The 23,345-nt window shown below is 37.6% G+C and overlaps 1 protein-coding gene across 2 annotated transcripts in view, besides 2 other annotated features; it reads left to right on the top strand.

Annotated features, from left to right (window-relative positions):
- NOTCH2 (notch receptor 2) overlaps nucleotides 1-23,345 on the top strand; it is a 158,110-nt gene that overhangs the window by 13,592 nt on the left and 121,173 nt on the right. The gene's annotated exons all lie outside the window — the stretch shown is intronic.
- Nucleotides 13,419-13,918: an enhancer, noted in NCBI's record as "H3K4me1 hESC enhancer chr1:120584777-120585276 (GRCh37/hg19 assembly coordinates)". NCBI's record gives its function as "activates a minimal SCP1, AML or CMV promoter by ChIP-STARR-seq in naive H9 embryonic stem cells {active_cell/tissue: H9 hESC(naive)}" and the evidence as "EXISTENCE:reporter gene assay evidence [ECO:0000049][PMID:30033119]".
- Nucleotides 13,919-14,420: an enhancer, noted in NCBI's record as "H3K4me1 hESC enhancer chr1:120584275-120584776 (GRCh37/hg19 assembly coordinates)". NCBI's record gives its function as "activates a minimal SCP1, AML or CMV promoter by ChIP-STARR-seq in naive H9 embryonic stem cells {active_cell/tissue: H9 hESC(naive)}" and the evidence as "EXISTENCE:reporter gene assay evidence [ECO:0000049][PMID:30033119]".

Here is a 23,345-nt window from a genome sequence, read left to right as displayed (position 1 = left end):
ATGTATCAATATGTCGGCCCTTGTTTTTTGAGGTCTGAAAAGGGTTAGTGCCAGTCAACAACAGTAGAGGAGTAGAAAGGGTGTTGGGATGGGAGAGGTGTGGCTATATTTAAAATTTCAATGACAGCAGTGAAAATAATTTGCCTGTGAACCTCTGCCTGTCCCTTTGGACTTCTTTGTAGTAGTTGAGACAACCCGGCAGGTCTGGTGTCATTAGTGATTCAGAATTGGATTAACCTGGACTGGTGGAGTTACTTTCTCAGAAAAGGGCTTTATATTTTAACATTTGTTTCCCTTGACAGTTTGCTTCTTCTCAAGTTTTGGCAGCCTTGAACAAGGGTTGTCAGGTTTTTATTTTGTTTTGTTTTAAGAAAAAATTCCAAATTTTATTTTGCCGATTTAGTAAGTTATCCTCTACCTGCCACTCCCTTCTGCTCCCTCTATAATTATTTCTAAGACTTTATTTTTCCATTGTGGGAACATTATGGAAGGTTTTCTTTTACAGTCTGAGATATTTATAATTACGTGTAAGCACACAGTTTATAGAATATGTAAATGGTCCATATGTTAACTTAAATACCCTTAAAATATTTTCCAATAATTTAAATCTTTCCATAAAAGTAGCTGAAGCTGCTTATAATAAAAGAGAAGTATACACGAAGGATAGCAGAATTTGGATGTAGTTAATATAGATAAATATGAATGTCACTTTGGAGGAACTGGAAGTATTTGCATGAATACTGATCAAGCCATGCCTCCTTGTTAATAGAGTGAACAAAACAGATGAATGTTTCTGTTTTCATGAAGTTTATGTGACTATCAGTAGCTTCCATATTCTGAGGGTTTATTATGTGACAGATGCTTGGGGACAAAATACTTTACTTGTTTCCTTTAGTCCTTAAAATAGATGTTAGGATTCTTGTTTACAGAAAAGTTAAGGAATGTTCATCCAGATCACCTAGCCAGTCAGTGGTAAAGAACAGTCACTGGAACCCCTCTTTCCTGATCCAAAGCCAACATACTTAACCATAATAAATAATACCATTGTCTGGTGGAATCCTGTAGTCCCTTAGATAGTGTAATTTTGTATTTAATGTAAACATTTTGTGCACTAGACTGACTTACATTTTACTTTTTAAAACAATATTTTAATTCTGAATGAACATTTGCATAATAGGAGAATGATCTAAATTGCAAACTTCCATTTTGAAGAGTTGTAGTTCTTTTAAATCTTTTTGTAACTGGGAAGAAGAATGGAATTATGTTTGTTATAATCCAAGGAAAGTTGGTTAGCATTCTTTCCTGTTACTTTTTGATCCCAAAAGAAATTCTTTAGTAGATCAAGACCAGGAATGAATGTGTGGATTTTTTTAAATAAAAAATTGAGAGAGATTGTAACTAGCAATTCAGAGCCAGATTTATGTTCAGAAATGTTTGATGCCAGCCGTTTTAGTTACAAATAACTTTTTCTTGACTGTACAGTTGTGTTCTTATGGTACCATTCTGAAAGTGATGTAAGAGACCATGTAAAATGATTGGAATGCCTCAGCATCTGAACAATGCACATAGCCAATTATTAAAATTACCCAGTACTAACCTGTCTTGGCTTAGGAACTATGGAATTAACTGTGGGTAGCATTTCTACACATATCATTACAGAACAAGCATAAAGACAAGCTTGTTTTTTTCCTTTTCTGTGGATTTGTTTTTTCTTATTACCATATCTTTTGTTACTGAAAACTGGTGGTCATCTGTACTAATAGATAAGAGAAGTGTGTTTGACACCAATACCTAATCTTAGATTATCCCTGCTATTTTAAAACACCGTCCTTCACCTGCATGCTCAGACATGTGGGTTCTTTCAAACATACTGGACTTCCTCCTTAGGTTTTAGTTGTGTTAGTTAATAGTTGAATGTTGAAGGAGAGGATGCCAAGGGATATTAAAGAAGGTAAAAGAGATAAGTGACAGCAAACATTATTTATTTTTAATTATCTCTCAGAATGACTTTTAGATACCCTTCCCTACTACATTTTGATTTTTGCTTTAGCATAGCTGGTGAGTTTTGGAATCAGAGAGACTGGGCTCTGATTTGTACTAGCTAAGAATATTAGACAAGCCACTTAACTTCTTTAAGTCTCAGTACCCGTATTTATATAATGGGAATAATAGTAATATCTAACTTGCAGGATTGTTTGTAAAGATTGAAAGCAACATATTTAATTGTGCTTGCGTGGTTCTGGGCACAGAATAGGCACCCGAGTGTAGGGGCCCCTGAACTTTAAAGTTCATTACTTTCATGGTAATTCCTCCTTTGGAATATATAGCCTGGGAACATTTGTCTCTAGACCTTGTTTCAGTTTCTTTTAATGACTCCTTTTAGGCTCTGCTTCATGGCCAACGCAAGATTATGGATCACCTAAAGAGTAGACTAAAAGTACTATTGTCTAGTAACTTCAAGTTTGTAGGTTAACTCACTGTGAATCAAAAGCTTTTAAAAATCTTTTGCGTGGTCATAGTTTGTAGTGTCTTGTACCTCTCATCTCAGAAGCAATTGATTCATAGAAAAAATTATTTAGGATTTCAGATTAAAGATGAAGAACTCTTCCAATAAGAAGGAACTGATTTGGTTGGATTATTTGTTTCTTTCACCCCTGAGTTTTCATGGAAATCAGGTTTAAAATGTTAGAAGCAGTTGGTTTTCAGCATTGGGAAAGCATATCTGATCAGGCATGCGAAGTGGCCTATGTCGGATTTCTGAGCTAGGAAAGGCTAGGGGAGGTTGAGGAGATTATTGTACTTGTAATTCCTGAGCATGGTTGAGACACAAGGAGAGGATTGTGGAAATTGTTTTTAAAAAATTGTTGAAGTTAATGCATTCTTGGGTGGATTTGCAAAACAGAACAAAACAAAAAGTTGTTGAAGTTAGTTACACTGGTCTAACAACGTATACTTACCACCCCCATTTGGGCTGGAGGAATGGATCTAATAATAATATAGGTGTTTGTGATCTAATTTGAATCATGTAATCATTTATCATTTCTGGGTTAGATGGTAAGGATTTTCTGTTTCACAGATTTTTAGACTGGGAATTGTGCTATTATAAAATAATATTTTACATTAAATAATGCTTTCTAGGTTGTAATCACCTTAATAGACATGATTTATTTGGGCCACAAATGAACTCTGGTAAGAATGGAGGGCTGGTTACATTATTTTAGTTTTACAGATGAAAATAATCAGTCTCAAATAGCTTAAGGGAATTCCTTTAGACCATATGGTTAGTATATGGAAAAGCCAGAGCTAGAACCCAGGTTCTGATTTCCAGAGCAGTTCTTATTTCATGATACCGCATAATTTTATAATGTCCCTAAATCCGAATTTCATTTCTCATGATGTGAAAGGATTCTCTTTATTTCTGTTTGGTTAGCTGCATCAGAGCATGACAGAAATGGAGCAGAATTCGAGTATTCTTTCCCCAGATGGGTCAGTTAGCTTTTCTTAAAGCTATTCTGTGCTTACATTGTTAATCAGTTGTCCCTGGTTCCTAGACAGGATGTTGATCCATGTGAAATAGGCAGGAATATGTGTCTGACTCAGCTTAACTCATCACAACTTTCATATGTCCTGCTAGTGGGTCTATAATGTCACCCTCGTTTACAGGCGTTTTTAATTTTCTGATGTCTATTTCTTAGTATTTTTCCTCAGCCATTTTTAATGTCTCAAGCCATAGTTCTTCCTGAGTGGCCTGAAGTGATTTTGCTGCTCTTTAAAGCTTCCTTAAGGTTTTTCAAGAGCGTACAACATAGGCTGCTTCTAAGTGTATTTTTATTTCCTAGCTCTTAGCATTTCTCACCTTATCATTATAACTTTAAATTTAAACAGAATACAAATTGTGTACACAGATGGGTGTGTCACTATTGCACTGTCACTTATGTAAGTGCAGTTTAGCATTTCTTCTTTCCTTTTAATCAAAATGAGGAAATAGAAAATGTTTTGTTATGGTAGTTTTACACATACACCCACAAGGAAATGTGTATCTAGAGTCTGTGGGAACTGTGACTTGATACATTTCAGGGAATAAAATGTATGATGGCTAAAATTTTAACTCTGCCAAATGTTCACGGGGAAAGAAAAATTAACAAACTCACATTTTACACTTTATTTTAGCCTAGTCTCTGCCTTGTTTACATCTATATGATAATGAAGCTATACTTGTCTTTCCACAACAGTGTATTTTATAAGTTGTACCTTTTGTTTAAGGGAGCCTTCTTAACAAACTTTCTTTCAGTTGTCCAGTGTACAGAAGCTTACTGGAAGGAGTGGCCAACTAGTTAAAGGTTTGACACCTCAATATCAACAAAATGCCAAGTGGATCATTTTGACTCTCACAGCAATCCAACTGGACATTTGACCATGCCCCGTGGTCAGTGGAGAGCTTCTTCTCTGAAGGCCACTTTTATCTAGCACATCAAGGCTATACACCTCTTTCACTAAGAAGAATTTGGCACTTTTATGTTGTGAGAGCTGAGATTCACCATTCTCCACCATCCTGAGAAGAGCTTTGATAGAAGGGCTACTCCTGAGGTACATAGATTATCCAAAATACATACAATTTTTTCATAGAAAATTATATATGTATTATAATTTTTATTCAAGACAGGTTGAAATTAATAGATTTCTTACATTCACTGCATTAAAGGAATATTTATGGCTTTGGTAATATTTTAAATTTCAAATTAAAAAATTTGAATATCTGAATTAAGTATCTCTGATTTAACTCTGTGTGTGTGTGCGTGTGTGTGTGTGTGTGTGTGTGTGTGTGTGTGTGTGTGTGTGTGTTGGGAGGAGGAATAGACCTTGGAATTGTTTTTTCAAAACTTTTTTTATAATAGTGCCTAATCTCAGTTGGCAAGGAATAGCTGTCCAGAATGCTGCATAGATCTAGTGAAAAGATTTAGGGAAGTTGTAACTAGTTTAATAACCATCTGTGGAGTGACATAGATTGACACACCCAATTACACAAGACCTGAGTCTGAGAACTGTTGATGTGCAATCATCCCATCAGCATCTGCTCGTCATTATCAACAACAATAATGGCTCAACTATTTCTTTGAGGCCACATGAAAAGACAGTGTACCCATAGCAAAGGATAAGTCAGACCTGAAAAAAACATAGCCCTCTGCATCCCCTTGTTCCCAAACTTCTTTTTAAACATAACCTTTTGTGAAGTTCTGAAAGAATTCATTTTATGTTTTCTTTTTATTAATTTTTCTTCTTAAATACCATGTCTTTCTGGCTGAAATCCTTGCCAAAACCAGGAAGGGCCAGTGTACTGTGGGTGATTTTTCTAATTCATTTCTTTGTCATTTGAAGCCTTCTGTGGCTTCATGCTGCTTTATGTGTGTGTAAATATTCAGTATCTTTTCTAGTTTACACTTTTGTCACAACTGCTATTAAGCCACCTATGGACACATTCTAATATAAATTATTTTGGCCACTGTGAGTGGGAGGGAAAGAATCAGTTCACAGGGATAAATTTGCATGTTGAGAAGATAATATATAATAGTTTGCAAAACACTTCTATGTACATTGTATCTTTTATAGAGACAAGGCCATGTTTTTATTTGTAGAGACTGAGACAGAGACCCCATGAGATCTAATGCAGAGTCACATGACTCCAAAGCCAGGTCTTCTATCTGCTCTTTGGTATATAACTGGATCATTATTCTATTGACAGAAATAAGGAATCTTCTTATTTTTCAAAGGCACCCTTTTGCCCTTGGAAGGTATATTTAGAAATCCTTTACCAGAGTAGAAAGAAGACAGTTATATTTTCCTGCCTTTTGATAAAAAACAGTGTGTTTTTTCTAAATCTTGTTGTGTTTGACTAGAGTCTGATTAAGGTACCTTTTGGGAAATTAAGGTTCTATAGAAATTACTGGGCTCAATCTAGTGATACAAATATGTGTTGTTTGATTTATCAACACATTACAAACCTTAACTTTGGAGTTTTAATATCTGGTTATCTTTAATATCTGGTTATCTTCTTTCTGAAGTGTATGTACACAAAATTGATGCTAAATAAGGTCTTGTTGTTTTGGCAAATAGTGAAATGCAAGGTATTGGTAGATCAGTACTGTTATAACTTTGGTGCAAAGTTGCTGCATGCAGATTGGCTGTGGGACCTTGTTCATTTTTTGAGAACTAATGTAGAGTTTGAAAAAACACCGTAAGCCTGCATTCCAGAAGTTCTGGTATGGATAGTGTGAGCCCAGGGAATGTGCTTAGATAAAAGATCATTTAACAAATAGGTTTTGCATTTTTTTAGCAATCAGGCTTTGTGCTGAATATTAGAGTGGTTGTTTCAGAGAGTTTGCAGCAATTAGGCTTTATTGGTGCACTAAGGAGAAGCAGAGAGGAGAAGCAATTCTTGGTAACTTCCTTGGAAGTTGCAGCTAACTCTGAAAAGTCTGGGTTGAACTAGGTAAGTAACTAATTCCTAGAATCAATAAACTTTGCAGGAGTCCGTTTGATTGTACATGTAGCTCCCTGGAATTGCTATTGGTCCCTAAATCATCAGTTTGTAATGCTGGTTTTCAAACTTGAGTGCACATCAAGTTTTGGAGGACTTGTTAGAATACAGATTGCTGGGCTCACCCCCAGAGTTTCTGATCTGGTAGGTCTGGAGCGGGACCTGGTAGATTGCATTTCTAAAAAGCGTCCAGGTAATACTGCTGCTGTTTGGGAAAGTACACTTTGAGAGTCACTGGCTTACAACAATCTCAAGGTGTTTGGATTTTTGGGCAGGGGTGCTGTGCAGGCGTTGCTGGGATCTCTTCACAGCACCTCCACTGCATAGAGGTGAGCCTCCAGATGTTTTCATTCATTCAACAAATATATGTACCTATTGTGTGCTGGGCACTGCTTAAGTTGCGAGGGGATATTGTGAAGAAAGTAAGCAAAACCCCTTTGTTTGTAGAATTTCAGTGAGCATAGTCCTGGGTTAACCTGACAACAGTCCTACTGTTTATTGATGCTTATAGGTGAGCCTATTTCTCTTTCTAGCTTTCTTCCACTTAATTTACTTTCTTTTGGAATTCTTGAATTTAATAATAATAATATTGATGTTATTAGTCATCACTATAACTTTTTATTGAGTGTGTATTTTATGTCAGACACAGTGTGGCTAAGTGCTTTACATACATTATCTCATCTAATCCTTAGAAAAAACCCTGGTGTATTAGTCTTAATTTAAAAGATGTACTTTGGAAAGGTTAGTAGTTTACCCAAGATTATGCAGCTAGTTAAAAGTGGTGCTGGGGCTGGGCTTGGTGGCTCACACCTGTAATCGCAGTGCTTTGGGAGTCTGAGGCAGGAGGATCGCTTGACACCAGGAGTTTGAGACTAACCTGGGAAACATAGCAAGACCCCATCTTTACGAAAATAAAAAAATTAGCCAGGAGTGGGGGTGCACACCTGTGGTCCCAGCTACTTGGGAGGCTGAGGCAGGAGGATTGCTTGAGCCCCAGAGGTTGAGGCTGCAGTGAGCCATGATTATGCCACTGCACATCTGTCTGGGTGACAGAGCAAGATCCTGTCTCCAAAAAAAAAAAAAAAAAAAAGTGGTATTGGGCCTGTCTAATTGCCAAGCCACATTCTTTACTGCATGCTTTAGTCCATTGTTTTTTACACTGCAGATCATGACCACGAATGGGTCATGAAACCAATTTGGTAGGTCTCCAACAGCACTTTGGGGGAAAAAAGGGTAGAATAGAGAGTATCACATAGTATGGACAAGCATTGTTTCTTGAAATTTTTGTTTTTGCTATGCACGTATATATGTGAATATTGAGGTCTGGTACAAGATATATTTCTCACTGTAGGTCACAGTAAAACATGTTGGTAAGCTACTATTTTCTTGGCTATGGGACTATATGTCATCTAATCACTTTTTAAAAACAGATTACAAACTGTAGGCCTTAGAAAGGTAAGTAATTTTTCAGCTGGGCATGGTGGCTCATGCCTGTTAATCCCAGAACTTTGGGAGGCCAAGGCAGGCGGATCACGAGATCAGGAGTTCAAGACCAGCCTGGCCAATGTGGCAAAACCCCGTCTCTACGGAAAAAAATGCAAAAATTAGCTGGACATGGTGGCGTGCACCTGTAATCCCAGCTACTCAGGAGGCTGAGGCAGGAGAATCGCTTGAACCTGGGAGGCGGAGGCTGCCATGAGCTGAGATCACGCCATTGCACTCCAACCTGGGCAATAGAGAGAGACTGCATCTCAAAAAAAAAAAAAAAAACCAAGGTAAAGTAATTTTTCAAGAGCACAAAAATAGTCAGTGGCAGTACAAAGACAAGATGACTGACTTTTTTTTTTTTTTTGAGACAGGGCCTCACTCTGTCACCCAGACTGGAGGGCAGTGGTGCGATGTTGGCTTACCACAACCTCCACCTCCCAGGCTCAAGCGATTCTCCTGCCTTAGCCTCCCGAGTAGCCGGGATTACTGGGGTGTGCCACTACCACCCGGCTAATTTTTTTGTATTTTTAGTAGAGACGTGGTTTCACCATGTTGGCCAGGCTGGTTTTGAACTGCTGACCTCAAATGATCCACCTGCCTCAGCCTCCCAGAGTGCTGGGATTACAGGTGTTAGCCACTGTGCCAGGCCAGATGTCTGACTTTTTAGCCCTTGGTCCATTGCTTTATTCTTCACACCATACCACTTCCTTAGAAGTGCACCTGGGAATGCCTGGGAATTGAATTTTATCTTTCCACATGATGGCAGATATGCTATGGAACCTTCAGGGATGTCGATGAAACCTGAAAAGGGAAGTTGAATCTCAGCCTGCTCTGAGTAGGTGAAAATTCTGCCTTGGATCCCCCAAAGTCTGCAGATAAAGATGTGACATTTCTCGTGTTCTGCTGTGCTTGAAGGAAAGAGGGTAATAATCTTAACAGTGCCAAGCTGTAAGCATGTTGCATATATTAACTTGTTTAATTACTAATTATTTTGATACAGCGGCCATGCCTGGGATATGAACTCAGCTGTTTTGAGTGAGAAGGGGCATCCTACCAGTGTGAGTTAACACTTCTCTGTACTCTCCCCGGTTCCTCATTTTGTTCCTGCTGAGTTCAGAGCGATGTTCCTCATAGCCTGGCTTACCTGTGGATGTTCTCAGCCTCATTTTCTTTTGCTAGATCATATATCTTCATTAGGTGGGTGATTTTGGTTTCTGTTACTTTTTCCTTAATATTAGTATATTGCTGATTTGGATCAGGGGCCAGGCTGTAGATTTTCAGCATGGTGAGGTGATAATACATGTTGGTCCCCCATGCAGAATGCTGCCTCTAGCACTTTAGCCAAAGGAGCTCTACAGTCTGTCCAGAAGTACTGGGGGACACTGGTAATAACCTGAGAACACTTACAGAGCCTTCCAGAAAGTGCCCTTTCACATCATATAAACAGATCATGGGAAGCTGAGGGAATGCAAAGTCAAGGCCTCATTGGAGAGCGGAAAGGAGGCTGAGATTGGTGGAGAGGAGTGGCTGTTACATTCTAATTAGAAGAATGACATGTGCAGGGCCATGAAGCAACTAAAGATGGGATGAAAAACTTAACTTGTGAATCGCAAAATTTGAGTAGGAAGGAGCTGGAAAGGCCTGGAAGTGCGAAGTGATTGGCCCTTGGTCAGATGGCTAGAAGATAGAGAGCCAGGCATAGAACCCAGAATCCAGGCCATCATTTTGTGGCCTCTTTTATCCTAATGACATGTTAGCCAGAGGTGTCTTCCAAAGCACCTGATTATAGGGAAGAATGAATGTCACTTACCCTAGAGTGAGTGAAATAGAGATGCCAGGAAGATATACCAGGTTTATCCAGTTTCTTTGCATTTTTCTGGCATACTGTATACTCTTGAGCGCATATGTATCCTACTTTGTGAAATCTGGGGGTAAAGCAGGACCCTTCAAACCCTTAAAAAATGTATACCCCAAGAAAAACATTTTTAAAGCATGAACGCTTCCTCAAGTAAATACATATTTATACATTATATAAATGTCTGGCTATTAAACCATGTATGCATATGTTAACTCTAAGTAAAGCTTATATGTTTTTTAGCCCATAAATATGGAGATGTTTTAAAATTTCTTCCAGTGCCCCAGTGGATGGTCTTACACCTCCCCTGCTTCTGGGGTACACACACCTAATTTTGCAGACCACTGGTCCAGAATGTAAATTGAAGAGTTTAATGTCTAAGATATTTGTTCTTTTGTTTGTAGCTTATCTTTTACTCCCCACGTTTCAAATATCCCTTTGCAAAATAATTTTTGAGTTAAAATTTTCAATTAAAAAACTGTATACTTGAGGTAGAAAAGATAAAGATAGAAGATATATGTGAATTAGGTTGTATCTCTCCTTAAGAGGGAATACTGTTTTTTATCTAAGGAGAACTAACAACCCTCCCTTTCATTGTCTGGGTTGGTATAAGTAAAAATCCTTGTTTGAAGTTATTAAGCCTTCCCACCCATATGATGATTAGTTTGGTTCATAAGCTAGAGTTAGGGCTTGGTAAAGGCTCCTTTTTTTTTTTTTTTTTTAAAGTCTTTCCACCTTAACTAGCAAGTAAGCTAGAAATGACAGAGCAGTAGAAGGGGGAATCTACCAGAGTGTCCTACAGGACCTTGTTGAATGCTACTGCTGCATGCAAGGGTTGTGGATTTGGTGTGGGCCTTCTGCAGTATCACCCAAATTTGAGCAGTACATGTAACTAAAAGTAAGAAAAATAAATTAGACAGTTTATTTCATTTCAGACTTTGGAAGCCCAGGACTGTGGGGATTAGCTATTAGCTAAGACAATGATTCACTGAGCAAATGCAGTGAAAGATTCTTTTGTTACACTGATCATCATTTGTGGAGAGACTCTGAAGAAGGATAAAGCTCTGGCTGCATAGTCAAACCAGACCTACTACTCAAGGACATGCATACTAGATATGTAGGTGTTTCCAAATATTTTTTTCAGTTGTGGCGGTGCAAATCATTTCAATAGTAGAGTAACTCAGTTCATTACTGTTACTGGAAAAACAAGTTTAACCAAGCACATATCCTACTGAGGGTGAGTCAACAGTGTCATTTTAACATAAGAAGGACAGTACATGAAGTGAGTTATTCCAAGTCCTGTGGTTTTCCTACAGCTGAGCAAAGACAGCTGTTCTTTCGGAAGTGGGGCTCTAAAAAGAAGTTGCCCATCTCCTTTCTTTCTTGATTATAGCCTTTTAGTTTTCTTTTGGCCTGAGACATTTCAAAAATTCATTTCCTCCTTAGATTTCTATCACCAAATACCCTGAATTTTGATAATTTATTTATAGAGTATATTATTTATTATAGACTTATTATAGTTTAAAACTTTATTTTAATTTATCTCCCATTTCAAGATCCACATTTGCTATATGTGTCAGATAATAAAAATGCCATAAGGAAAACAGAGGAGTGATCTTTTTTAATATGTCATTATTTTCTATAGTTCTTTAGTGGTATGGACATGGAATAAGGTGGCATTTTGTGGGACAGTATACCAAACTTAGTGATAAAATTTATACTTTTAATTTTGGAGGACAAAAGTCTTGTATTCTCAGCCTTGTGGATAAGACAGTGCTCTGAGCTGTCTGAGGTTTCCTAAATTGGGATTCAACATCATGAAGGGTATGTGTCTGGATAGTTTATTTGTTGGTTTGGGAAGGTGAGTTTTTGTCTTTTTTCCCCCTCTGAGTTGATTTCTTTAGTTGGAGAGAAGCAGACCAGATGAAGAAAATACTTTATCTCTTATGGCATTTTTGGTTTACCACATTAGTTATGACCCGTCTTCTCTGAGCAGCAGGCCATGCTTCTCTGTTCAGTAGTTCAGTTTTCACTAACTTAACTGCAGATGTGTTCTTGGAGGGATTTATTTCTAATCAATTGAATTATGGGTACTTGGATAAAATGATGATGGGTTACCTACTTTTAATAGGGCCTTCATTTTTAAGAGTAAAATCTTGTCAAGATAGGGTATATCATACTTATGATCTGGTTCCATCTCTAACTCCATAATTTCCTTTTGCTCCTGTGTTGCTACTCTATTATTGAGAAGAGATGGTATCTTGTCAGTGTCAATTTTACAAAGAAAAAATTCTAAACAATTTCAGTCATAGGGTAGTTTTTTTTTTTTCCTGGAGAAATAATGCATAGTGTAGTATGTTGAATCCTAGAGTTGGCAAGTTTTCAAAAGTGGGGTTCTTTTGTTGTGTAGGTAGGGGTGATGCTAGTCAATGGGTGTTAGTCATTAGGGCATGTGTATGAGTGGTAGTTCTGAGATACAGCATTGGCAGCCCCTCTTGTCCCTGGTTTTGTTTTTGATAAGCAAGTCCTGGTTTTGTTTTAATAAGCAGGTCATTAGCTGATCTTTCGTGTAAATGTTTTTGATGTGCATAGCTGGTATGTGGGTGGTTACCCACCTGAGAATGTTGTAGTCACAAATGTATATTATGGAAGTTTGCAGATTATGGTGGATATCAGGTTTTTCTAACTGCGTATTTACAGATGTAGTGAGTGAAAGGAATGTTGGGTCAGTAGGTAAAAGACTTGCGCTCTGGTCCTGGTTCAGACATCTTGATTTGTGTGACTTTGGGCAAGGCCCTTATTTCTTTGAGTTGCAGTTTCTTGTGTAAAATGGTGCTAATACCAATTTACATGCCTCATAGTGTTGTTGTGGGGATCAAATGAGATCACTGTTTATGAGCAGCCTTCTCAGGAGTGAGAAATAGAGGGTTGTGAGCTGACTTTCTGATTTGTTTGGCTGAGGTGTTCACACAAGCCATAGAATGCTTTGTAGACTTGGGTGGAGGAATGTAGATGGAAATCAGCTGAAAATCCCTGCCTATTAGAAGCTGAGATGTTAATCCTAAATATATTGTATGGAGTACTATCAGATGCCTTGCTTTTCTTCATGATGCCCTATTAGCTTCATCTTCAGGTAGCATAGGTGCCTGTTACTCTCATTTTACTTGAAGAAACTGACCAGCCAACTGATTTAGGATATGGCTGGCTATCTTCTGGAACTCACATTAGAGTTACTCCTTGAGAGTAAAGTCTTGTATTTTCTGAAGGTTGCTGCTTTTGGGGTATTTTCCGTGGAGGTGGGTGGGCACACACAAAAACTCACTGTGCTCAAATTTATAAACTTGTTCTTCTTAACAATTTTAAAGCCAGATTACATTGGATTGGGGGAGGGGAGGATACTAGATTTATTTAGTGTTTTTTAATGTAAAACTTTGTATTTGAAACTTTATGTGGTAACATATATTTAGGCTCATAGCCAAAGTGATTACAATGCATTGGTTTTAATATTTTCAGTGAGGTAATGTGTGCTTTAGTGGGGAGGAGGAGAAATATTACTTAATCACCAACACTACACTAATAACCACATTTACTAAATCCTTTGTCCCTTTGCTTGAACTGAGGGTTCCTTGCTTTTATACTGGTTTTCCAAAGGACTTCATCTTGTTAATGTGATGAGGTGATGATGGGAAGGACATTCCCACTGGGCCCGAAGTGGTGAAACTGGTAAAACTCCCTTTGTAAGTCCCTCTTGTTCAACATGAGTGTCACTCCCATGTCCCTAAAGTAGAATGGAGTTTTATTGAAGAGAGAATTTTAAGAGTGATAAACAAAAGAGATGGAAATATCTCCTGTGCCAGGTCATTGTTACCATTAAAGACTAGAATAAACTGTAATTTTGCAGATTTTCTTTTTGTCTTATGGGAAATTAAAGACTTGGTTATCCTCTCTCGGAGGAAGATAGAAAACTACTGGGCCTGCTCATTAACAGTTTAGCTTGGCTGACATTTTTCAAGCACTTACCATGGTATTATAGCTGGGCTGAAGCTAGGTGGAGCAGACCTCACTTAGGTGTTGCCTAGCTCCAGAATCTGTCTTCTGGTGGAATTCCCTTAGGCTTCCAGACAGGAGTGGCAACAAAGCAGATGAAATGGAAGGTAGGCCAGGGCATCTGCTCGTTCGCTCGCTCGCTTGCTCTTTCTCTCTTTCCCTTTTCTTTCCTTTCCTTTCCTTTCCTTTCTCTCTCTCCTTTCTTTCTTTTGCTTCCTTCCTCTCTCTTTCCCTTTCCCTTCCTCTCTCTCTTTTCTTTTTTTCTTTCTTTTTTTTCTTTTCTTTTCTTTCTTTTCTCTCTCTCTCTTTCTTTAGCAGTTTATTACTCATTTGTGAGAATCAGGGAAGCACTGGGCTCAAGAAAGCCAATACCCCTTCTAGGGCTTACCCCCCATTTTAAAATTTAATATATTGGAATTTATATTGTTTCTTTTGATCCGAGATCTTCAGGCTGAAGCTGGAGAGAAATCTTTTGACCTCTCTAGAACAAAGAAAGCCTTTATCAAAGACAGTGTAACTTTTTGAGTTTGCCAAATTAGGTGTTGCTGCAAATGGAGAAACCTAGAGTTCTCTTCTGTGCTTAAAGACACAAACATGGAAAGTTTTAAGTTCCAATATGGTCACTTAATATATACAAAATTTTCTGTCTTTGCTGTCTTTGTCATTCCAGCAACAACTGGATGAGCAAATAGAATGATTGTGAGCACTTGCAAACCAAATTGTGACTGTTAGTGTGTTGAGCTGCTTTTTTATTAAAATGACTGCTACAACTCTGCAGAAATCTGAGTAGTCTTGAAGATAAATTCTTGCTTGCATTTACAATAAAGAAAGAATATGAGTAATCAAAAGGCTGATGGAGTTGGAGGACTGGCGTTTTTAAGAGGAACTGATTTGGACATTGAGATTATCAGCTCCTCATCAAATATCATTAAGTACACATTATTATTTTTTTCTGTTGACCAGGAGACCCAAGTTGTGTTGATGTGGGACATAGCTGTATGTCTGAAGAAACAAAGCAAGGGAGAATAAAATAAATAAAAATTGAAGTTCAGGAATATATATATATATATATATTTTTTTTTTTTTTTTTTTTTTTTTTTTTTTGCAGGCAGAGTCTTGCTCTGTCGCCCAGGCTGGAGTGCAGTGGCACAATCTCGGCTCATTGCAAGCTCCGCCTCCCGGGTTCATTCCATTCTCCTGCCTCAGACTCCCTAGTAGCTGGGACTACAGGCACCCGCCACCATGCCCAGCTAATTTTTTTTTTGTATTTTTAGTAGAGATGTGGTTTCACCGTGTTAGCCAGGATGGTCTCGATCTCCTGACCTCGTGATCCGCCCACCTCGGCCTCCCAAAGTGCTGGGATTAAAGACATGAGCCACCGCGCCTGGCCGTTTAGGGCTATATTTTATGTTTTCTTCTCCCTTTGGTATTTAATAAAGATTTGATATTTTTCTATTATCTGCTTTCCTCTGTTCCAAGGTTTTTGGCCTCAGGTGTGTTCTCTGGAAATGGCAATGATAGGCATTTATAATCTCCATATTTAGATATTTCCCTCACAGTGCTAGTTTCTGAGCTTATTAGAACCTAATGTTAAATGACGAGTTAATGGGTGCAGCACACCAACATGGCACATGTATACATATGTAACAAACCTGCACGTTGTGCACATGTACCCTAAAACTTAAAGTATAATAATAAAATAAAAGAAATATCCTGGCTATGAGTCAAGGGTTTAGGACCTTTTGAGGCACTTGGGTTTAGACAATTCTCAGTGATGTGTACAGGAATTTGGGTACAGGAATACTATTCACAGGTGAACAGAGTTTGATTTTGGCTGAAGGCATATTATTTGATCCAGATAATAATATAAAAATAATCCAAATGTTAGGACCTTAGCTTCTGCGAACCCTGACTTGAGAATAGTTAGCCATACATGTAGTTGGACTTTATGTAGGACTAACCAATCTCCTCTGCACTATTTTTGCACAGTACATTGATTATGGTATCCCTGATGACCTCTGTCCCCATCCTTGTGAGTAGCCTTCATTGCTACCACCCAAGGATGTTTTAAAAAGGCTATGAGGAAGGATGCATGTAGGGAAATCTGAGGTTGTTCTTTGGATTTTCCCTGTTTTGTTTTAGGAAGTATCCATGATTTTATATAATAATATGTAGCAATCTTAGGTTTTTCCATTTTCATTTTTAACATAATTTTGTTATTCATTCTGTTTGGGTGTCTACCTCTAAATTAACAAACATGAGAAATTGTGTACTCCATTTAAAAAGTGTCCTGAGCAATTTAAGCTAAAAGAATATGTTGTTTCTTTTGGGTGTATAGCAAGAAGATTATATATATTTATAAATTTTTTTCCAGCAAGTGTACTTAAAAGCGTGTACTTAAAATTAAGGACTTAAAAAAACTAAGCTGTACTTAACAAAATAATCTTTAGAAAGCTTTAAGGCCGGGCGCGGTGGCTCACGCCTGTAATCCCAGCATCACGAGGTCAGGAGATCCAGACCATCCTGGCTAACACGGTGAAACCCTGTCTCTACTAAAAATACAAAAAAAATTAGCCGGATGTGGTGGCGGGCACCTATAGTCCCAGCTACTCGGGAGGCTGAGGCAGGAGAATGGCGTGAACCCAGGAGGAGGAGCTTGCAGTGAGCTGAGATTGCGCCACTGCACTCCAGCCTGGGCGACAGAGCGAGACTCCATCTCAAAAAAAAAAAAAAAAAGCTTTAAAAAGGGAGTTTTCTAAAAGCACAGGAAATTGGTGACAGGCAAAATTTGTCTTGATAATAGTACAAATACAGATAGTGGAACAGAACAGATAATACAAGATATAAGACAAGACATGGAATAACACTTCATATTCACTTTCTTTGACCACTAAGCAGCACACAAATATATAGCAGTTTTTGTAGAGAATAATTAAATTTCTAGATATGATACAGCTTCTTCCTCTCTGTTGGGTTTTATTACACTGAGATCCTGAACCTTTTGGACATGTAAACTGTGATCATGTTGGTCAGTGTCATTTGGATCTCGTTGGTGCTTATTGTTCTGCCGATGTGTATTAGTGAACCTACTCATGGGGAAGATAATACTATACAATGAATTTTCCCATTCAGTTGGAATTTTTTTATTACTCTGTTTTCTGTTTTTCATTTAGATGTAAATTATTTTGGCTTCCATTCAACCTATTTCAGCTAGTTTTTACCATAATACACATGGCTTAAGATTTATAGGAGGCTAAGAGTGGAGAGTGTATCTTCATTCAAACAAATGGTAAGAAAGGAACTTTCAAAACTGTTTCAGTTTTGCAAAGATTAGAAAAGTACAATTCTACTTTCTCAACTTTTCATCCTTGTTAAAGGCCTGGAAATTTGCAGCATTTTGTTCTTTCTTATTTTACTTTTCTAATTTGTTACACAAAGTGAAATTCCACACATAAACATGCAAGCTGAAGGTTGGGTTTATTCTTAGGTTTTGTCTTAATTATAGATATTTAGTTTATTGAATATCTTATTGAGTATTGAGTACCTGCTGTGGTCCAGGCATCTTCTTAGGTCCCAGGTGTACAAAGAGGAGCCAATTGTGGTTACTGCCTCTATGGAATTTGCCTAGAAGTGGGAGAGAGAGAGATGAGTGAGCCAGCACTTATAATACATCTACTTAGGATAAAATGGGAGCACAGAAGAGGAACATCTGTATCAGTGGGTCTCTGAGAGCTTCTTCAGGAAAATAATGCTTTATCTGTGATTTGAAATATAGTAGGAATTTAGCAAGATAGAGAAAAAGGAAAAGGAGGTAAAATATTTTTCAGGTAAAAGAATGTACATGGGTATAGAGGTGATCATTATTAGCAAATTGGCTACATCCTAATTTGTAAGTATTTGTGGATTTTTCAAACCTTATATTTCATGTAGAAGAGCTGAATACATTAGTCTCATCTCCAAGATCCAGGTATTGAAATTTAACCCATGCATAAATTGAATTTTTTTCTGAAGTCTTTAATAAGAGAAAAATAAAAGGAAAAACTACACAGTATATAGTAGATTTCAATATAGCACAGCAAACACTGATGAATTTTTTTTGCAATAAGTTCAATATTATAAAATAGAACAAAATTGGAATTTTTAAAACCAAAAATTATTCTAGATTTATCAGCTAACTGGAATGATTTTTTTATAGTATGAAAAGTCTATTAGTAATACAAAAAATATTCATTTATAAGTTGTTATCATTGATTATATTTTCTTAAGGTATATTTTCAGTTTTTGAAAAGCAGTAATAATTTGCTATGACCCTATAGCCCAGTTCTTAATATCTGGATCTGATACTAGCATCTCTTAGGTAGAAAACACACTTTCTATATGATAATATCTGTAAAGAGCACATAAATCCTTGGAACACTATTAGGAAAACAAAATCGATTTATCTCTTATTGCTTTTTTTTGTTTTTTTTTTTCCTTTTAATCAAGACAAATTTCAAGGAGGAAGACAGATGTTTCTCCACTTCGTTTTTATTTAAATGTACCACTTGGGATTTGAAGCTTCCGCACTTCTTCTGTTTGTTTGGATTTTTTTTTCATGGCTTGATCCCAAAAAATGGAATACAAAATTTAGAGAAAGTTTTGTTTGAAATTGCAGGGCGCTATGAGAATTATTGCAAATCCCTGATGTCTCCTTGTCTGCCCTCAATTCTCCTATTTTTGGTAATAATGCAGGCAGTCATTTTAGAAAACTTTGCTTTGTTCATTTTACTGAGCCTCTTCCAGAGGCCATGTGCCAGAATCAACAGCAGCCAACCACAGCCAAGATCCTAGGGCGTAAACTCAGACTTCATCTCTCAAATATTGCTACTTGAAATTTGCATAAACATTGAAGAAAAAGTTAAAAGAGCCTGTATAACTCCTCTTCATGTATTTTAGGAGCCTCAGACAGTCAAGACGTTAAAATACCTTCCGATTGAGCAGTGGGTCTAAGCACAGATACCACACTGCACATAGGGAGAAGGATATGAAAAAAATCATGTGAGATAGACGACAGAGGCTTATTTGAAGAAGCTACAAAGCAACAAGTAATGCCAGTTTAAAACGATTACATGTTAATGCAACAAGTAAAACACATTGAAGGCTGCTCAGATTACACTGGCTGAAGTACAGACTTAATTACTCATGTTAGAGATTCCTAAAACAAAGGGAGGCTTTTAAGCCAGTGATATGTAGCTGGTATGATAGTGAAAAGCATTGGAAAACTTAGGTAAATGCCTAGAGGAAATTTTAAGGAAGATTCCATCAAGTCTGGATACCTTAGCCTTATCCTTAAATGAATAAATTTCTGAGGCGCTGGAACTGGTTAAAATCAATGGCAGCTTATTCTGTTGTTTGCAGTTTTTATGTACAATTGGGGCTGATAAACCTGAATAAATAAAAGAGCCTTGTCTGGATTGAGTTACAGTTAGTGCTAAACATCAAGGGTTCATATTGTATTTCTTAAAAGTTCTTTTTGGAGTGATTCCAAGATTGGTATTAAGAGGGTATGCCAAGGGTATATATTGGCAATTTTTATTTTGTTTGTATTTATCTTAGAGTCATTTGGGTAGGTCACATTCTCTCTGCCCCTACTCCCAACTTCTCATTAGATTGTAAGGACCATGAGGACAGAGATTGTTTGTTTTATTTGTGCTTAATTTTCATGCAGTGCCTAGTAGGGGACAATGCTGACAGTAGTTTCTCGACAAATATTAGTGGAACTGTATTAAAATTGAGTTTTTGCTCACATATATTGTTTATTTTACCTTTAGTGGATCACTTCTCCTTATGCCTTCAGTGCTATAGTTTTTTAAAAGAAGTATGTTAGTCTGTTTTGCATTGCTCTAAAGGAATACCTGAGGCTGAATAATTTATAAAGAAAAAAGGTTTATTTGGCTAATAGCTTTGCAGATTGTACAAGAAGTTTAGAGCCAACATCTGCTTCTGGTGAGGGCCCAAAAAACTTTCATGGCTGAAGGTGAAGAGGGAGCAGGTATGTAACATGGCAAGAGAGGAGGGAGCAAGAGAGATGTCAGTCTCTTTCAAACAACCAGCTCACATGGTAGCGAGAATTCACTCATTACTGTGGGTGGGCACCAAGCTATTCATGAGAGATCTGCCCCCATAACCTGAACACCTCCCAGTAGGCCCCACCTTCAACATTGGGGATTACGTTTCAACGTGAGATTTGGAAGGGACAAAATAGCCAAACTATATCAAGCACAAAGAAGATACAGAGATAGTCAATGGTGGAGCTAGTATTCAAACCCAGATTTGTCTGATTTCTGCATCCGTGCTTTCAACTGCTTAACTGCATTGCTTCAAATACTCAGAAAAGACGAAATGTTTTCCATATCCCAGGAACTTAAAAGTGAAAAAGCAGAGAGCTAGAAGACCATGTAGTGCTGAATTGAGAGTCATGAGTGTTACAAGGATAGGGGGTGGTGGCCCTGTGAGGACCAGAACCCTCCAGGGGAAGCTTTCTGGGTGAGGCAAGAGGTGAACTGGGCCTTGAAGGAATGGGTAGAATTTAGATAGTAATGAGGAAGGCAGAAATCAGTGGAAGCACAGACATGCATGGAGGAATGGAACTGAGTTCAATGACGATCTGTTCAGTAAAGAGGGCATAAACTGGGCAGAGAATGCAGTGGAAGTGGTGGGGAGTAATACTGGGCAGGTAAGGTAAGCTCTGATCTGGAAGGCCAGCATGGGAGCCTAGACTCGTTAAAGTAAGAAATGGCTTGTCCTTGGAAGAAAAAGTGTCAAACTTGGTACTGTGTGAAGGTACTGCACAGACCTCCCAACTGGTTCTTAAGAGAGCCAAACTGAGGCTAAGTTCTGAGAACTAAGTAAGAACTGACAGCCCTTGTAGGTTAGAAAGTAGTGGGGCAACATGTTACAAGTAGTGCTTCTGGAAGGTTAGATGCGGTTAGAATAAAATCATTGCCATTTTGGGGAGCTGGGAAAATGGATGTCTTCAGTCTAGTCTAAAAAGGGATGACTTGAATAAGCTTATATAAGAAAGAAAAGAAAAACCTTTTTACTCACTGGACCATTTCATAATCTTGACTTTTTTCAAACATAAATCTGTGTCATTTTTCTTATTTAAAACAGCTGAGTAGTTTACTCTCCTACTTAGAGCTGTGATTCTTATCATGGGCTCTTGTGATCTAACCCCAGCCTGCCTCCCTGGCCTCTGTCCTTGCTTAATAACCTCTAGCCATATGAACCTGGAATACCAGTCTAATTCCCACTTCAAGGCTTTTACACTTGTTGTTTCCTCTGCCTGGGGTGCTCTTCCCTCATATCTTCATGACACTTGTTCATTTACATTGTAGCTCAAAGCATACCTCCTCAGGGAGGCCTTTCCTAGACACTATCTGAGGTACACTCCTGCACCCCCAGCCTTCATGATTGCTTTTTATACATTACTGGGTTTTGTTTCCAATGGAACTTATCGCTTATTACTGTCCTAAATTATTTTATTTATTAATTTTTTAGCCACCTTTCTCTTATAGAAATAAGGTTCCTGAGGACAGGGAGTTTATTCTGTATACTACGGTATCCCTGACATCAGGGCTTGTGCCTGCCGATAGTAGATGCTTTCTAAATATGTTCTGAATATTAGATAGCTAGTTCCCAAATGCACTGCACTGAAAGTGTATGAAAATTGGAAATTGGCTTCTAGATTTTTGTATTATATTGCCAAATGATGGAGTGATGAGATTGAAATCTACTACTTCTTTTTGCTTTTTTTTTTTTTTTTTTTTTTGGTGGAGTAGAGGAGGGCCTGCACAAACAGCAGATACACACACAGTAAATAAGATTTATTTCAGCCAGCAAATATTTATTGACATGAAAATTGGGGTTAAATGTGACTCTTTGTGAGTGACTAGTTTCTTGGAGTCTATTAAAGCATCAGTTTAAACATCAATTCTCTATGGTATGATTAATGTTTCTTTTTTTACTTTATAAGCATGAAGCTGCCTTCAATTTTATTGTTAAATTTAAGTGTTTTACATTGGAAAAAAGTAAATTGAATTTTGAAATGAGGTCTGTCCCGGTCTCACTTTCATGGCTTCAGGTTATCAAAGTTTTAATTTCTCTTTGTATGGAAGATAATTATAGTATTCATTTTTGCTCCTGAGTAAAGCCACGAGTCTCAAGATTATTTTTCTTTTTTAAAAATTAGAATTGTCAATTTATAGTTGTATACATTTATAGGGTACAAAGTGATGTTATAATTTGCTAATACAATGTAGAACAATTAAAAGGTAGTTAGTGTATCCTTCATCTCAAATATTTAACATTTTTTGAAATTTACTCTCTTAGCAATTTTGAAATGTACAATACCCTATTATTAACTATATTCACCACTCTATGCAATATATCTCAAACATATACAAAAAAATTCTTCTTGTGTAACTGTAGCTTTTTGTACCCATTGATCATCAGGCCCACAGCTTCCGTAACCACCATTTTCCTCTCTGCTTCTATGATTTTGATGGTTTTCAATTCTACATATAAGTGAGAACATGCTGTATTTGTCTTCCTGTGCCTTATTTCACTTAGCATAATGTTCTCCAATTCTATCCATGTTGTCTCAAATGACAGAATTTATATCTAAAGGTTGAATAGTATTCCATTGTATATATCTACCACAGCTTTTTTTTTTTTTTTTTTTTTTTTTTTTTTTTGAGATGGAGTCTCTCTCTGTCACTCAGGCTGGAGTGCAGTGGAGCAATCTCGGCTCACTGCAACCTCCGCCCCCCAGGTTCAAGTGATTCTCCTGCCTCAGCCTCCTGAGTAGCTGCGATTACTGGCGTGCTGTAATTTTTGTACTTTTAGTAGAGATGGGGTTTCATCATCTTGGCCAGGCTGGTCTTGAACTCCTGACCTCGTGATCCACCCACCTCAGCCGCCCAAAGTGCTGGGATTATAGGCGTGAGCCACTGTGCCCAGCCTATCTACCACCTTTTATTTATCCATTCATCTGTTGATGGACACTTCCATAACTTGGTATGGGTGTACAGACATCATTTCAATAAACTGATTTAAAATATTTGGGGTAAATACGCAGCAGTGGGATTACCAGATCATGTGGTGATTCTATTTTCAGTTTTTTGAGGAACGTCTGCACTGTTTTTCACAATGGTTGTACTAATTTACATTCCCATTAACAGAGTAGAAGGGTTCCATTTCTCCACATCCTGTTTATTCAGACAATATGTTATCATCTAAATCATCTAAGACCTCTATATTATATAGCTTTTGAGTATTTTTAAAAGTGGACACTCAAGCGTTCATATAGTCATAGTCAGTGTGTGGTTCCTCAGACCTGTGGTATCAACATCACCTGGGAATTTGTTAGGAATGCAGATT

The sequence above is a fragment of the Homo sapiens genome, chromosome 1 (assembly GCF_000001405.40).
Source record: "Homo sapiens chromosome 1, GRCh38.p14 Primary Assembly".
In the NCBI taxonomy this organism is placed as follows: Eukaryota; Metazoa; Chordata; class Mammalia; order Primates; family Hominidae; genus Homo; species Homo sapiens.
The sequence above is the reverse complement of the archived record's forward strand: the minus strand, read 5'-3'. Positions and strand labels throughout refer to the sequence as shown.